Below are 17038 nucleotides of genomic sequence, written 5' to 3' on the forward strand. Positions count from 1 at the left end.
TAGCCATGCTACCAACTAATAGATCTTTATTATCTTCAGGTTTTATTAGTTGGGGCTACAGTCATGGCAAGAATATAGATCTAAATACAAAGAATGTTATTACTTCATCAACCATAAGAAAAGTTACTCTGCAATGATCCTTAATAAGGCTTGCTTTATAATGTTTCTGATTAAGTAATTGCATATACATTGACACACACACACAAATGCACTCATCCCACGCTGAACTCTCCATTATTATCTCTGTTACTTAGGAATGCTGTAGCGGATACTGGGGTTTCTCTGTAACCTTCTTTCCACTATCCACCGATTGTGTAACACATAGTTGAATTGGCATGCCTAGTCCCTCAGCTTCAACACTTAAAACATTCGGGATTATCCTATGCTTTCTGCCACCATTGATTTTTTCTTATAACCCAGGCAGAAAACAAGTGGTGTGTGGTGACATTGGCTTAACCACAGAAAATGGTTCAGATTTGGTTCAATGCATTTGAATTTCAGAAAATTGACTTAGAACATTAAAACAGAGATTTCTTTCTTCCTGATGTAATTTGTAACTTAAAGCCTGAATCTTCTAAAATCACTCAATTATTTGAGGGAAGCCACTGAAGGATAGAGCTGACACAGAAAGGAAAGAATATGTAGTTGATGCAAACATAAAATAAAATAACAAGGATCCTGATTAAAGAACAAACGCCTGAAAACGCTTTAGGTATCCTTTGCTCCTTCATTTGGTTTTAGTAGGTTTACCATTTAATCAAATTTTGATGGCAGGAGATACAATAAATTACATATGACTATTGTTTTCAATATTAAGAAATCCATGCTTAAGAACATATTATATATTCATTGTCTACATAAAACCTTTTCCTTGATTAATACACTTTGTCTAGGTAAGGGCAGGAGTTGAATATTCCATTTATAGTTGAATTTCACAAGTCTTTAACTTCTAGTAAAAATAAAGTTTCTACCAATAAAAGATAATATGCACCTAGTAGTATTTAATATTCACATTAGCCAGTCATAAATACTGTAGACAATTCAGTCATATGAGGTTCATCTAGCTCCAAGGACTGTTTAACTTAGTTGTAGAAATATATGGTAGTTTTGTCCAAGAGCAAGTATCCTTTATAATGTAACTGTGACCAAGGCCCAATTCACAATTTAAAAAAAAATTTATATATTAGTGTGGATTTACACTGCTATATAAATATGTTTTAGTCTGTTTGATATACCAGTGTAGCTCATGAATTGATAATTAATAATGTTAAAAAATACATTACATTTTCCTTTTATTAAAAGTATATACAAAATCACAAAATCACTGATCCATTACTTTCTTCTGCTCTTTAAAATTAGTGCTAAAATAAATGTAACTACATTCTGGTTACAGTCATTTAAATTGAAAATTATTCTGTTATTATCTTGTCAGCAAGCTTCTCTAAATCCATATATTTCAAGTTAAAGAGGTAGGAAAAGTAAGAAATGTTTACATTCAATTTCGAAAGAAAGCTATGAAGAAATTGAGTTTAAGTGCTATTCAGTTAAAATGACTATGGGTGATTGACTATGCTTGGGTGATTCATATTGTATGGTTCATTTGCTTTCTAAAACTAGGTAATTGTTCAAAGTCACTTATTTATTTTAATAAAACGTTATTTCCTATTTAATCTGTATTGGTCACTGACATAGAAGCGACAAGTGCAGAGTGAAATAGAACCTAGTCCCTGTCTTCCAAAGTCTTACATTCTTCACTGCTGGGAGGCTGTGAACTTTCACAAGTGCATGATCATTAATGATCAAGACGCTGCTCTGTTTCTATAGACTCTGTTCCTTCGGTCCTCTGGCCCTTTAGCCTGTGGTTAAATTGTCTACCATCTCTTTCTGCTTACATAATTCTACACTATAAAATTTGTAACGATCAGTGGAGGTAAAATGTATTAATCTTTCAAAAAATTATGCATGCACATTTTTATATTGTGATTGCATATTATATGGTCTTATTTAGGTGGTAAAAAATTTTTAATTTTTAGTAATATTGGAAATTTTGCTAAATATTTTATGGTGGCATTAATATATTCATTTATATAATAATTATTTATTGAATAGCTACTTTATGACAGATGCTGTTCTACCTGCAGTCAAGTCAATTCACTGTTGATTATTTTCTTTAAAATCTAATCAAATAGGAAAATACATACTTCAGGAAATAAAATAGTGCAGAGATAATGACTTGCCCTAGGAGGGTCAGATTGCATTATACAAATATTTCACACAGGGCTAGAATGTCTTATCTTAGTAAAACCACGTGCATTGTACATTTTCTCTCTGGGTTAAATATATTCTTTGATACTTTTTGAATAATCTTAGAAGCTCTTTGAAATGATGCATTTTAGAAAAGGTACATTTTTTTCCTCCATGGTTATTCAATATTTTTAAACATGCTTTATTTTTAGACTATTTTAGACTCACAGTAAAGTTGAGCAGAATGTGCAGATCTTTTCCGTATACTCCTCATGACAAATGTGTATATTTTTTTTATTATCAATATTCCCCACCTGAGTGATGTATTTGTTACAATCAATGAACTTACATTGACACATAATTATTGCCCAAAGTCCATAGTTTACATTAGGCTTCACTCTTGATTCTGTACATCCCATGGATTTGGACAAATGTTTAATTACTTGTATCAACAATTATAGCGTCATTCAGAGTAGTTTCATTGCCTTGCTCTAAAAGTCCTCTGCTCCATCAATTCATACCTCCCTACCCAAACCCTGGCAAACACTGCTATTTTTACTGTCTTCATAGTTTTGCCTTTTGCATATAGATATCATATAGTTGGATTCAAACCGTAAGCAGCTTGTTCAGATTGAGATTTTTGGGAGTCTTGGTAATTGCATTAAGTTTTCTATATTTACTTTCATTGCTTGAAATTGAATTTCTTTGTAATGCTAAATTGTATTCTACTTTCTTGATGTGCTACTGTTTATCTATTCATGTATGGAAGAAATCTTGGTCGATTATAAGTTTTGGCAATTATGAATAAACCTTTTATAATAATCTATGTGAAAGTTTTTGTGTGGAGATAAATTCTCAATTATTTTAGGTAAATACCAAGGAGCACCACTGATGGATCATATGGTAAGAGCATATTTAGTTTTATAAAAAAAATGCTACGAAATTGGCTTCCAAAATGGCTGTACGCTTTTGCTTTCCAACCAGCAATAAGTTACAGTTCTTGTTGCTCCACATCTTGGTTAGCATTTGGTATTGTCTGTGTTCTAGTTTTTAAGACTTTGTTTTTTATACATTAAGTAATGTTTTTGAATATGCATTAATAAAATGCTGTTTATTATTCTACTTTGTATATGAATAGTATCAGCATAATTACGTTTGATGACAATAATTTCTTGTATATAATTCTTTACATTCAATTCACAATTTTTATATTTATATTATTAATGAAATTACTTTTACCTAACAGTTTTAGTTATAAATTATGATTATGATCTGGCCTCTGAAAGTCAATATGTACTTCTGACTGATTTCAAATTAGAATCCACTAAAATAGTAAACATTTTTAAAGCTTTTGCATTACATTAATTTCTAGGAAACATGTTTACCACATAAATATATAAAATGCAAATTTTTATGGTCCCACCAACTGAAAACTAATAATTAAAATTTTCATAGATCTTTATAAAATTTTTTTTAAAAAATAAAATATATAGTATATAGTGCTATTATTTATTTTTATTTATTATATTTTGATGGTTTAAAAGTTAATCTTTAGTACTCCAAGGCAGAATTTTTATGGCTGCAGAATATCATTTTATGAGGACACATTATAATTTTGATATTATTTCTATATTTTGGGTTATTATAGTTATTTCAAGTTTATTCTTAAAAGTAAACCACACTTTTCTGAAAAACTTGTATGTAAATCCTTAGAGAAGAGTGTTATTTTGCCTTACTTAAAAATTATTAAGTTCAGACATAATAACTCATACCTGTAATCCCTACGCTTTGGGAGGCCAAGGCAGGAGGATCACTTCTGGCCAGGAGTTCAAGACCAGCCTGGGCAACATGGTGAGACACTGTCTCCACACAAAATAATAAACTAAAAAAAAAAAAAAAAATTGAAAATGAACACACCTTTGTAACGATCCTGAAACATATTGCCAAGCTAGCCACCAGAAAGTTACATCAATTTGCTTACAGCCCTAGATAAATGTATTAGTTAGGATAGGCTAAAGTGTTGTAAAAAATGTAACATAGAAGTGTTCATGGTGCGAAAGAGTAAACAATTGTTTTGTGGATATTCCTTTAAGTGGATTTATGACCTCTGACTGATCATTAACGACCTGGTGTCTTTCTCTTTGGCACCTACATCCAGGACACATAAAGGAAAAAGGGATAAAATAAATGATGACTGCTTTGAAAGCTTTGTTCCTTTGGCATTAACTAAACAAATGTTTACAAGGAGACTTGGATATTTCATCCTGAGTTGCTTCCAACCTATATCTGTAAACAATGGAAAATGACAACAGATGTTTAGGAACATCTAAAAGCTTTGCTCCAATCCACTTCTGGACCATTTTATTCACAGAGGACATATCAACATCCTCTTCACCTCTGTCCAAAAAAATAACAATTCAAATTTGCATCCCCTTACCTCAGCAGCTCAACATCCAGTTTCACAGCCCTTTGCACAGACATAGATGTGGCTCTTTTGGGTTTGGCATTTGTTTAGGTCAGAGGATACATCTTCTTCAAGTGCTCATTCAGCTTTTCACTCTATCGTCCAAATAATTGTGAGTTCTCTGCTACAAAAGAAAAAGCTTTTTAAAACACTGAAAATGCCAACACTGGGTAAAATCATTAAGATTTTACTCCGTGTTGAATGGGTAAACAACTCATTAATTCATCGGTTTTAGTTTATTTAATCATCAAAAATAATTCTTGCATATTTGTGGTTATTTGCTTTTAAGTATATATATTAGATATATTTGTCATTTGTACTTCTTGTTTTTTTATTGATAACATTTTTCCTTTAATTACTGTTAAGCCTGGTCTCCAATATTGAGTTATTTTCATTAATTCTAAAATGAGAATATTCATAATCCTTTTCTTCTGTCTAATCTCTATTGTATTTTATTTTATTCTGTGTTTTTATTATAGATTCAGGAGGCACATGTGCAGGTTTGTTATAAAGGTATATTGCAGTGGTGGAGTTTGAGCTTCTAGTATACTCATCACCCCAATTTTGGGCGTAATACCAAATATGTAGCTTCCAACCCTCCCCTACTCCTCACACTCTTTTCTTTTGGAGTTCCAGGTATTTATTGTTTTCATCTTTATATCCTTGTGTACCCACTGTTTAGCTCCCACTTTTAAGCGGGAACATGTGATATTTGATTTTCTCTTTCTGAGAAAATAACTTCAGATAATGACCTGCAGCTGCATCCATGTTGCTGTGGAGGACATGACTTCATTATTTTTTATGTCTGTGTAGTATTCCAAGGTGTATGTATAATATGATATCTTTATTCAATCCACCATTGATAGGCACCTAGGTTGATTCTATGTCTTTGCTATTGTGAATAGTGCTGCAACAAAAAGAAAATGAGTGTAGGTATTCTTTTGGTAAGATGACTTCTTTTCTTTTGGGTAGATACCCAGTAGTGGGATTTCTAGGTTGAATGGTAGTTCTATTTTTAGTACTTTGAAAAATCTCCATACTGTTTTCCATAGAACTTGGACTATTCCCATCAACAGTTTATAAGCATTCTCTTTTCTCCTCATCTTCAACATCTGTTATTTTTTGACTTTTTAACAGTAGCCATTCTGACTAGTGTGAGATAGCATCTCATTGTGTTTTGATTTGTATTTCTCTGATGACTAGTTTTGTTGAGCATTTTTTTCATGTTATTGGCAACTTGTTAAGTTTTCTTTTGAAAAGTATCTTTTCATGTCTCATGTCCACTTTTATTGGGGTTATTTACTGTTTCTTGTTAATTTGTTTAAGCTCCTTATAGATTCCAGATGTTATTCCTTTGTCAGAGGCATACATTTTCTCCCATTCTGGAAGTTGTGTGTTTACTCTGTTGATTGTTTCTTTTGCTCTGCAGAATCACTTTAGTTTATTTAAGTACCATCTGTCTATTTTTTATTGTTGTTCCATTTGCTTTTGAGGTCCTAGTCATAAATTCTTAGGTTAGCCCAATATCTAGAAAAGTTTTTCTTAAAATTTCTTCTATTTATTTTATTTTATTTTTTAGTTTGAGGTCTTACATTTAAGTTTTTAATCTACCTTGAGTGAATTTTTGTATATAGTGAGAGATTGGGGTCAAGTTTAATTCCTCTGCATATGGCTAATCAATTTCCCAAGTATCATTTATCGAAAACAGTGTTGGGTTCCCCTTTGTTTGCCTTTATTGACTACATTGAAGATGAGTTGGTTGAAAGTGTATGGATTTATTTCTGATTTCTCTATTCTATTCCATTGATATATGTGTCCATTTTTGTACCAGTTCCATGCTGTTTTGATTACTGTAGTTTTATAGTATAGTTTGATATCAAATAATGTAATGCCTCTGGCTTTGTTCTTTTTGTTTAGGATTGCTTTGATTATTTGGACTCTTTTTAGGTTCTATATAAATTTTAGAATTTTTCTCTAATTCCACAAAAATAATGACATTGGTAATTTGATAAGAATTGCATCGAATCTCTAGATGCTTGGGAAAATATACTTATTTTAATGGTATTGATTCTCCCTATCCATAAGCATGGAATGTTTAGATTTGTTTGTGTCACTTATCCTTTTTGTCATCAGGGGTTTGTAGTTCTCTTGATAAAAGTATTTTATCCCCTTGGTCAAATATATTCCTAGTTTTTTGCATGTGTGTGGCAGTTGTAAATGGAATTGAGTTCTTGATTTAATTCTTAGCTTGAGCATTGGTGGTATACAAAAATGCAACTGATTTGTGCCTTAATTTTGTATCCTGATGCTTTCGTGAATTTGTCTATCATTATTTTCCTATTGCTCTGTCTAGGAATTCCAGTACTCTGTTTAACAGCATTGGTGAGAGTGGATATCCTTATCTTGCTCCAGTTCTTAAGGAATATACTTTCGGCTTTTGGTTATTCAGTATAATGTTGGCTGTGGCTTTTACTATTTTGAGTATGTTCTCCCTATGACTAGTTTGTTGGGGGGTGGGGGTTAATCATGAAGGATTTTAGATTTTTTTTTCTTTTCTGTTTTTTTTGAGACGGAGCCTCGCTCTGTCAACAAGGTGAGATCTCAGCTCACTGCAACCTCCGCCTGCAGGGTTCAAGCAATTCACCTGCCTCAGCCTCTTGAGTAGCTGGGACTACAGGCATGCACCACTGCACCTGGGTAACTTTTTTGTATTTTAGTAGAGATGGGGTTTCACCATGCTGGCCAGGCTGGTCTTGAATTCCTGACCTTGTGATCCGCCTGCCTAGGCCTCCCAATTTTTACTTTTACTTCATATCTCTTTGCTACTATGGGTAACCCAAATGGATATTAAAATACTTTACCTTGCTACTGCCAGTTATGTTTTAATAACTATGGCAGTTTCACTGAATCCACTGTCTTTAAAAAAAGAATACTTTTTAAAACTGAATAATGTCAGAATAATTTCCCAGGATTCTAACATATCTCCTCATTTATGTCCTGTATTTTACATTGTATTTGGTGAAAGCAACACTCACTGTAAAATTGCAGTATACTAAGATTATTGAAAATGGTGCTTTTTCCCTAAAAAGTAATTTATTTATATCATGTATAGCATTTTATATATTGAAACAAAAAGAAAAATCCTAAATGCATTGTTATTAGGGAGCTTACTATGTTGGCATGCATATACATGCCTTCTCACATATACCTATTTATACGCTAAATCTGACTCACAAACATAGTCAGAAAAACTGCCAGTAAGAATAGGAGAAGATCCACTCCTCAAAACTTTGGTATTCCTTGGCTTGTAATCACTCTAATCTTTACCTCTATTGTCATATATCCATCTTTTTGTGTATGTCTTTGTCTCCTCTTATATGGGTACAAGCCATGAGGATTAGAGCCCACTCAAATTCAGTATTACTTTATCTTATCTCGATTACATCTTCAATGTCACTACTTTTAAATAGTGTCACACTTACAGGTACTGAATGAGAACTTCAGCATATCTTTTGTGAGGGCCAACATTCAGAACTTCAGCATATCTTTTGTGTAGGACACAATTTAACCCACCTCAGTGTATAATTAAAACTTTTAGGAGTGACAATTATTCTAACACCCAGTTCCTTTAATAGGAGGAATATTTATTCTGTTCTCTTTCCATCTCCCATGCCTAGCACAAGGTCTGACACATAATAAATCCTCAGTACACATTGTTGAAAACATGAATATAAGAGCCAGAACCTATGACTAGGCTTTAGTTTTATTTCTTACCAGCCTTGGAAAATCTTTCTAGAATTTTATTCTAAGGCCCATGCTTCAACTTCTAGCCATATTTTAACCCCTTTAACTTTCTCAAGAACTCTCTCCTTAAAAATTATTTTTTGTATGTCAATTTATTATCTATTAAGTTCTTTCCATTTGCATGCACACATATTCTAAAATGTATTATTTCAAAATATAATTATCTTGAATCAGTTCCATTCTGATGTGTGATAATATTTTGGTTGTAGCTTTGAAATATAAATAAACTACTCATAGATATCTTCCTTTCTTAGATGATATGAAGCACTTGATTGCTGTTTTGCAAGAAAATAGATAATTTCCGTCACTCCTCCAATGATGACTATTGGCTTTGGTATGATCACATTTATACCTCCATGGTTTGATACTACGCATGTGTATGTACACAATGAATTTCTGTTGCAATGCTGAATCTAAAGTAATGTTTAAATATGACAATTAAACCTAAAATTTAGTATCAGCTCTACATGTAGATTAATTGATGTGACAAAATTATGACAAATATGATCACTTTTTGCATACTCACAAATAATGGTAACTATGTCATGATAGCTATTCAAGCAGAAGTAATTGTAAGATGACATCACTCTAAGACAAACTCAACTTCAGAGGCATTCAAATATGGAAATCATGCCTCTTGGGATTTATGAAATGCAGTCAAATATAGATAGGCATAATCTAACAAAAATTTCAAAAAGAAAGATATAAATAATAGAGAAGAAATACTTTCAAAATTCATAATATGAAAACATGGTTTATTTTAGGAGGGAGAAGTATTTTTATGTCCTCTAGCTAAGTATTTGGCTGTGTGAAAATTCAAAAGGCAATGATAAAAAAAAAAGAGATAAAACATGTATGAAAAAATAAATATATTTGGACGTACACTGAAATTGAGACGAAATAAATAAACAGCTTCTGCATTACAACTTGAAAGCTTAAAGAGTAAAAATAAAAAGAATACAAAATTACAAGCAAAACGAGGAAAATTTTATTGAAAGAAAACTATAATGTGCACTAGGTTAAATTCTAGCAGCTTTCAGGTTGTAAATGTCAAGATTTCAGAGCAACTGAACACAAAACTATCTGCCATTGTGACCTAAATATTAGGAATGTAATTCATTTTGGTCAGCAGGAATTCACAAAAGGAGGATTGCAGTAAGACTGAATTTCTTTTAGGAACAGTGATACAAAATTCACATAGGATGGCCCTTGATATAATTTTCTGACGTTTAAAAAGGCTTTCACTACTCTTTTTAAATAAAGGATTATAATATAATGGAAAAAAAGTATGCCATTGAAGACAAGCCATTGAATCTATGAAAAGATGCTTTCACTATCAAAGAAAAATGTTACTAATAGAAATGGCTTGGAATTGAATACAGTATTTGGAGACTTAAAAATTCCACTTTTTAATTGAATAATGATCTATACGATATATCGCACACAAAAAAAGGTAGGACATGTATTCTATACCAGCCTTGTACATTGGGGCAAATAAAATTCAGTCATTCATAAAATGCTATAATGCATTAAAAATTAAATGATACTGTGATTACACATATGAACTTTTCATATTGAAATTCACATTTCATTTTTGTAGACATACATTCTTTCCATAGATGATCCATCACTGTAAGAATGAGACATAGACTGTTTGTCATTTTATGCTAAATAATCGAATTATAGAAAAAGAGCAGCTAAAGAAATATCCTAGATGTATGGCAAAAAGGTGGATTTTACATGACTTTTTATTTCAACCACCATCTTATCATAGCCATATTCTTTCTATAGCAATCTGTATTTACAATGTGTTCATATGATTTTAACTCTCTTTTAATAGCATTATTCTTCTTTTTCACAAATATAATAGCTCTCATTCTTTTAATGTTTGAGTCATTCTAAAATCACATTGCAAGCTGCTTATTTGAGCAAAATGATGAACTAGTTACCTTGAAAATCCATCTGCTAGAAACCTTAGAAAATGCTTAAGAAAACAATTTTAAATGCATAACTGCTTACAAGAACAACAAAATAAAATATAAAAATTCCTGGAGCAGAATAAAGAATGAATTGGAAAGCAAATCAACCCACCTGAGCTAATGTAGTAACAGCTCCAGGAGAAGTTGCTGGGCTTGGTGTTCTCCAAGATTGTACATTGATTTTTAAAATTAACTGATTTTATTCTTGCATAATTTACATAAAGGAAAAACATAGATCTGCAGTATACAGTTTTATGAGCTTAGTAGATTGAAAAAAAATAAAAGGCTGCAACTTGTCCCTCTCCTTCTAAACAAGCCTTTTGCAAATATAGTTCTATGCTGACTCTGTGCTGGCCTTGAGACTTGATTTGCCCAGTGGGATATTGGAACATGAGACTAAAGCAGAGCCTTTGAAAATACTTTCACATAGGATGAGCTTGCGTATATCTCTTGGAAACCCTTAAACCACAACTGTTTGAAAAAGGCAAAACAAGTCTATTGAATGATGATCAACACATGATCAAGCCATCTCTTGCTCCAGCTGAAATCTAACCAAACACCACAACTGTGAATGTGGCCATCTTAGAAATTTAGTTCAAACTAGGACTCTGACACTGGAGATTGTCTGAGTTAGCCCATAGCCGAAGAACCTCCAAGGGTAAACAGACAGATGTGGCTTCATGAGTTTGTAACTACACAGGACTCTGAGATCAATACTGTAAAAGCTCCTGGGGCTAAATATACTGTGATCTCTGTCTTGAAATTTCTAATAATTTTATTTTTTAAATTATATTTTCCAAATGAAGTCTCATGGGCAATGGAGCGTATAGGAAGTACTTGGAATTTTTGTTCACATGGAATCCTGCAACCCATATCCTCCCTGTCTCCCTGAAACATATTCTCAGCAGTTACTCCACTTTCCCCAGGTGCCCAAGACTCTACTTGGCCTTCCCTCCTTACCCTACTGCCCTCAAGCGCCTGAGTGCGAGCTTTGTCAGGGCCATATTTAGTTTCCACTCCTTGGCATCTCAGCCTGGGGAATGGTGGCAGCTGTCCTTGCCCTAGGGTGAATTGCCAAGACATTTTCTATAGTTATTTCAGCTGGAACAAGCCCCTGGCCCTCCCTTGATCCAGGATAAACACATCCCTGAATAGAGATTGTGATCCTTTGGGGGTCACCTGTCTGTCACTGGTTGGGGTATTGAGACCACGGAATGGGCTGAGTGACTTCCTTGCCCTTTGTAGGATCATAGCACATTTTTCTGGCAGCTGGCGGGAGAAGGAATTTAATAGCAACCGAGCCACAGGCATGTGCCAGGCCATGGATGGGACTCCCAACGCCTGTCAGGTTCATACTTGCCAGTGAGTGTTCACTGTCCGTGAAATAACAAATTAAAATAGTACTATCATAGCTCATGAGAGAAAGAAAGAGAGCCCATGGGAAGACTGAAAAAAAGTTTTACATTTAGGGCCTTTAATGATAATTTTCCCCAAAGGCATTTCATTTTGCACAAGGCCCTCCAAATAATGTAGCTGCTGCTGCTCACAGAATCATGAGAAATGATAAATAGTTTCTGCATTAAGCCCCTTTAAGGCTCAGATGGGCTCAAGTTGAAGCCTCCTATTTTATAAAATGGATGTTTAGTAAAGGAACTGGTCTCAGTTATGTTTATAGCACTTGGGATAGTGTTTTCTTGTACATTTTGTATTTTAAAACACTTTATGCTAGTGCAGCGATCCTTACACAAATACAAAGGGAATAAGAGCCAGTAGTTCAGTCTCCTCAGTTTTAGTGCTGAAATAATAAATAGTGACAGGTCAAAAAAATTAGGTATAGTGTGGTATGCAGTAAAAGCTATAGATGAACTTTTTTTCTTTTTTTTTAATTTTATTATTATTATACTTTAAGTTTTAGGGTACATGTGCACAACGTGCAGGTTTGTTACATATGTATACATGTGCCATGTTGCTGTGCTGCACCCATTAACTCGTCATTTAACATTAGGTATATCTCCTAATGCTATCCCTCCCCCCCAGCTATAGATGAACTTTGACGAATATATGAATTCCATGTAATTAACACCCAAATCATGATATATAACATTCTCATTGTCACATTCCCATTTCCACTGTCTTGCTCTACTGTGTCTTGGTGTCTTGTCTTTTTTTATTGCTTTCTTTAGCAGAACATGTCATATATATGATCTATCATTGATCAAACCATTGCCTGTGAACCATAACTATATACATATATATAATCTTAGATATTTTAGATATTTTAGGTCCTTATTATCTTATAAATAGTTTTTTCTCTGTTTCCAGTTGCTTGTTGCTGGTATATAGGAAGATAATTTATGTTTGTATATAGTCATATTTTGTATCCTGTGACCCTACTCCATTAATTTATTAATTTTTATTTATTAATTCCTCAGGAAATTCTATGTACAAAATAATATAATCTGAAGATGCATACACTTAACTCTTTTTCACTTTGAACTCTAAGCCCTTTATATTCTGGGACTTGAGCACTGAGAGTTTAAGATATTAAGACTAATAGGATATGTATGATAAAAATTTTACTACTTCACATTGAAAAAAATAAGATGAAATAATAAACAATCCCTCTATCCTTCAATTGCTGAAAAAGTAACTTGAAAATAACATAATATTTCATAATTCAGCATTCATCTCCCGAAGTTATTTATCATTAATTTAAAAATTAAAATTGCATAATATTTAAAATCCATTCCATATTTAAATTTCTTCAGAGCCTACCCCAAGGAAACACCTTCAATTACTACTTTTTCATTAAAAGACCATACCAAGTTTCAAGGATTTTCCTGTTATTTCATGGCTCTTTAGTTTCTGTTGATCTAGAACAATTCTGTCATCTTCATCTCTCCTACCAAGTAACTTGATTTTGAGGACAGTATGCCAATGGAGCTTTAGAGCAAGCATGTCTCACATTATAAATTTTTCTAATTATATCTTTATATGTTGTTTACCTTATTCTACTAATGACTATTTTATGTAAACTGGCAGCTTTTAAGGCATGAATAGATACAGGTTAAGTAGTTTGAGCAAAAAAAAAAATAGATAAATTCTCTGTATTTTGTAATGAATATCATCATGGCCGTGCAGTGCCAGTTTTCTTGCTACTAATAAGGCTAAGTGTGACCCTCTGGTGAGGTGATAACTGCTCAACCTCATTAATAATAAGGGAAATGTAAATTAAAATCACAATAACATACAAAAACACACCTACAGGAATAACTAAAATAAAAAATCCTGGGAAAACCAAGTATTGGCTAGAATGTGAAGAAAGAAGTTTTATATTGTACAAGTATGTATATAAATTACTATAAACATTTAAGACAATTACTCAGTGGAATTAGATAAAGCGAAACGTATTTCTAAATGCTGCTACTTGACAATTCCACTCCTAAATGACACGTGCACATGAGCACTACCACAGGACTTTCAGTCTGTCAACTTTATTGCTGCTAATTTGAGTACCAAGGTACTAAATAACATATTCATATAATTATATAATAGAATATATTATAATATGTTAATACATTTGAATGCTATGTGGCAATGATCATTTCCCTACCTAACCAAATGTAATATGAGAACTGCTATATGAGAAGCAATACGGATACATTTCACAAGCATATGCTGAATAAAGGAAGTCAATCACAAAACATGTAGTCTATGGTTCTGTTATTCACATTAAAAAGTAAATTCCACTTAATTTATGGAATTAGAAGTCAGATCAGGTTTGGAGAAGGAGGAGGAATGGTGAGTCATAGGGAACAGAACATAGTAAGTGTCTAATAATGGTATATTTCTTGACTTGGTTAGAAGATGCATGGATGTTTTCACTTTGAGGTAATTAATTGCTCTGAACACCTATCATAAAACAACATTAAATATATTAAATAAAATTCTAAGCCATGTACTTTGAAAACATCAATGGTATATCCAATTTCCTAGAAAAAAATTAGTTCTTACCAAAATTTACTGTGAAACAAGCTGGAAATCTTAATAGTATAATGGAAATTCAAGTAATGGATCTAACTGTTAAAACTTTATCCACTGTTAACAAGACATCCAGATCATTTTACATAATGCTCCTATCACTCAAGAATATAGGAATGTAGTAATACTAATTACAATTAAACTAAATCAAGGGAAAACAGGTAGAGAGCAGAGGGTTTCACTGGAAATTTCAATGTACCCATAATGTTTTACTTTATGGACAAAAAGATCTAATGTGTCAACATGTTAAGATGATGTAGCTTAGTCTGGGTATAAATGAGTATGTGCAAGTACTTTTTTTTTTTTTTTTTGAGACAAGGTCTCGCTGTGTCACTCAAGCTGGACTGCAGTGGCATGTTCTCAGCTCACAGCAACCTCCGCCTCCTGGGTTCCAGCAATTCTCCCTCCTCAGCCTCCCGTGTAGCTGGAACTACAAAAGCACCCCACCACACCTGGCTAATTTTTGTATTTTTGGAGAGATGGGATTTCACCATGTTGGCCAGGTTAGTCTCGAACTCCTGCCATCAAATGGTCCGCCCGCCTTGGCCTCCCAAAATGCTGAGATTATAGGCATGAGCTACTATCCCTGGCCATTTCTGTACTCTATATTTGAAATATGTCATACAGCAAATGATAGCATATTTTAAAGACAAATAGATTTTGCAGATTTGATATGATGATAGCATATTTTAAAGATAAATAGATTTTGCAGATTTAAATAGATTTGTGAATTTGTTACCTAGATTACATTGTTTGTATTATGTATCACCATTAGAAACTTTGGAAGTACATGCAACCATTTTAGATTTATTCAAAGTAGAAAAGAAGTTTATTCATAAACTCCATTTCCACAAAGATGTGATAGGCAATGAAAATTTTCCAATTACCCTCTGTTACTTTTGGGTTAGCACATCACCTATGGCTTAAAAAAGACCTCTTGGATCCAGATTTAAAAAGCCAAAAATATTCTGAGTTTTCAGATTTTCGATGACTTTCTGCAAAATAATATAGTAGGGCTACATTCATACAATGAGTTTTTTATTATTAAACTACCTCTGAATCTATTGTTGACTAAACTAGCTTATTCTGTTTGCTTTTTAGTTACCCAATTATAAGTATTGTAGAAAAGTTGGAAGGGTAGGTGTTTCTCCTCAAATGGTTAGACAATGTGTCACAGAGTTTAAAAATCCATCTTGAAAACAAACTTTACAACTCCACTATTTACCACCTACCTGACTTTAAAGCATATAATCACTCTTTGCCTCGGTTTTCCCATCTGTAATTTGAGGTAATAATACCATTAAACTCATATAATGGTTCAGAGGATTAAATGTGCCCAAAAGACACTTACCTAGTGGGCTGGGCACAGTGGCTCATGCCTGTAATCTCAGCATTTTGGGAGGCAGAAGCAGGAGGATCATTTGAGCCCAGGAGTTTGATACCAGCCTGGGCAACATAGCGAGACACCCATCTCCACAAATAATAATAATAATGGATTAGCCAGGCACAGTGGCTTGTGCCTGTGGTCCCAGTTACTCAGGAGGCTGAGGCAGAAGGATTATCTGTGCCCAGGAGGCCAGAGCCACAGGGAAGGGAGCCGTAATTGTGCCACCACACTGCAGCCTGGGATACAGAGTGAAATCTTGAAAAAAAAAAAAAAAAAGGAAGGAAGGAAAGAAGGAAGGAGAAAGATGACCTAGTAGTAACTGATCAATAAATGAAATGTGTATAGTCATTATGCCTACATAAAATTATCTATCATTTATCTATCTATCTGTCTGTCTGTCTGTCTGTCTGTCTGTCTAAATAAAATCTTAGCCCAATTACTCTATTGAAAAAATCTCAATAAAGCAAGTCACAGGACATTTTGCTTCCCAGTGCATATAAAAGTTACACTAAATTGTGTACACTAAACATCCAGGGCTTGTAGTTCCATTTAGAGAGCACAAGCAGAGTAAATTTAGCATAATTCTTATGGGCCCTAGGACTTTTGAAATGGTCAAAGAGCATTGACTTAAACATAATGTCACCAGCTACATTAGCTCCTAAGAGGCCTGTCCTTTGAAGCTTTGAAGCCAGGCATTGACTTCTCTCAAGCTATAAAAGTATTAGATGGCATTGTATTCCAGTTTAAGTCCGCCTACATTAAAAATATATTTTGTGTGTGTGTGTGTAGCCCTCTTTATCTATTATCTTAGCTAAAACATCTAGAGAACATGTGCAGCTTCTACATCAGCAACTGCTGCTTCACCTTGCATTTTTAGACAGTTTCTTTTTCGTGAACTTCATAAACAACCTCTTCATAAACCAAACTTTTCTTCTGCAGCTTTCTCACCATTTCAGTCCACACAGAATAAAGGGAGAGTTAGGGCCTTGTTCTCAATTAGGCCTTGGTTTAATATAATTTAGTGGCTTGTTTATCTATCCAGAAAACTGAAACTTTCTTCATAAAAGCAATAAGGTTGTTTTGCTTTCTTATCATTTCTGTGATCACTGTAGTAGCATT

The 17038-nt window shown here is 33.3% G+C and overlaps 1 long non-coding RNA gene across 1 annotated transcript in view; it reads left to right on the forward strand.

Moving 5' to 3' along the window:
• The window catches only part of LINC02315 (long intergenic non-protein coding RNA 2315), a 186338-nt gene that overhangs the window by 71384 nt on the left and 97916 nt on the right, over positions 1-17038 (forward strand). The gene's annotated exons all lie outside the window — the stretch shown is intronic.

The sequence above is a fragment of the Homo sapiens genome, chromosome 14, assembly GCF_000001405.40.
Source record: "Homo sapiens chromosome 14, GRCh38.p14 Primary Assembly".
In the NCBI taxonomy this organism is placed as follows: domain Eukaryota; kingdom Metazoa; phylum Chordata; class Mammalia; order Primates; family Hominidae; genus Homo; species Homo sapiens.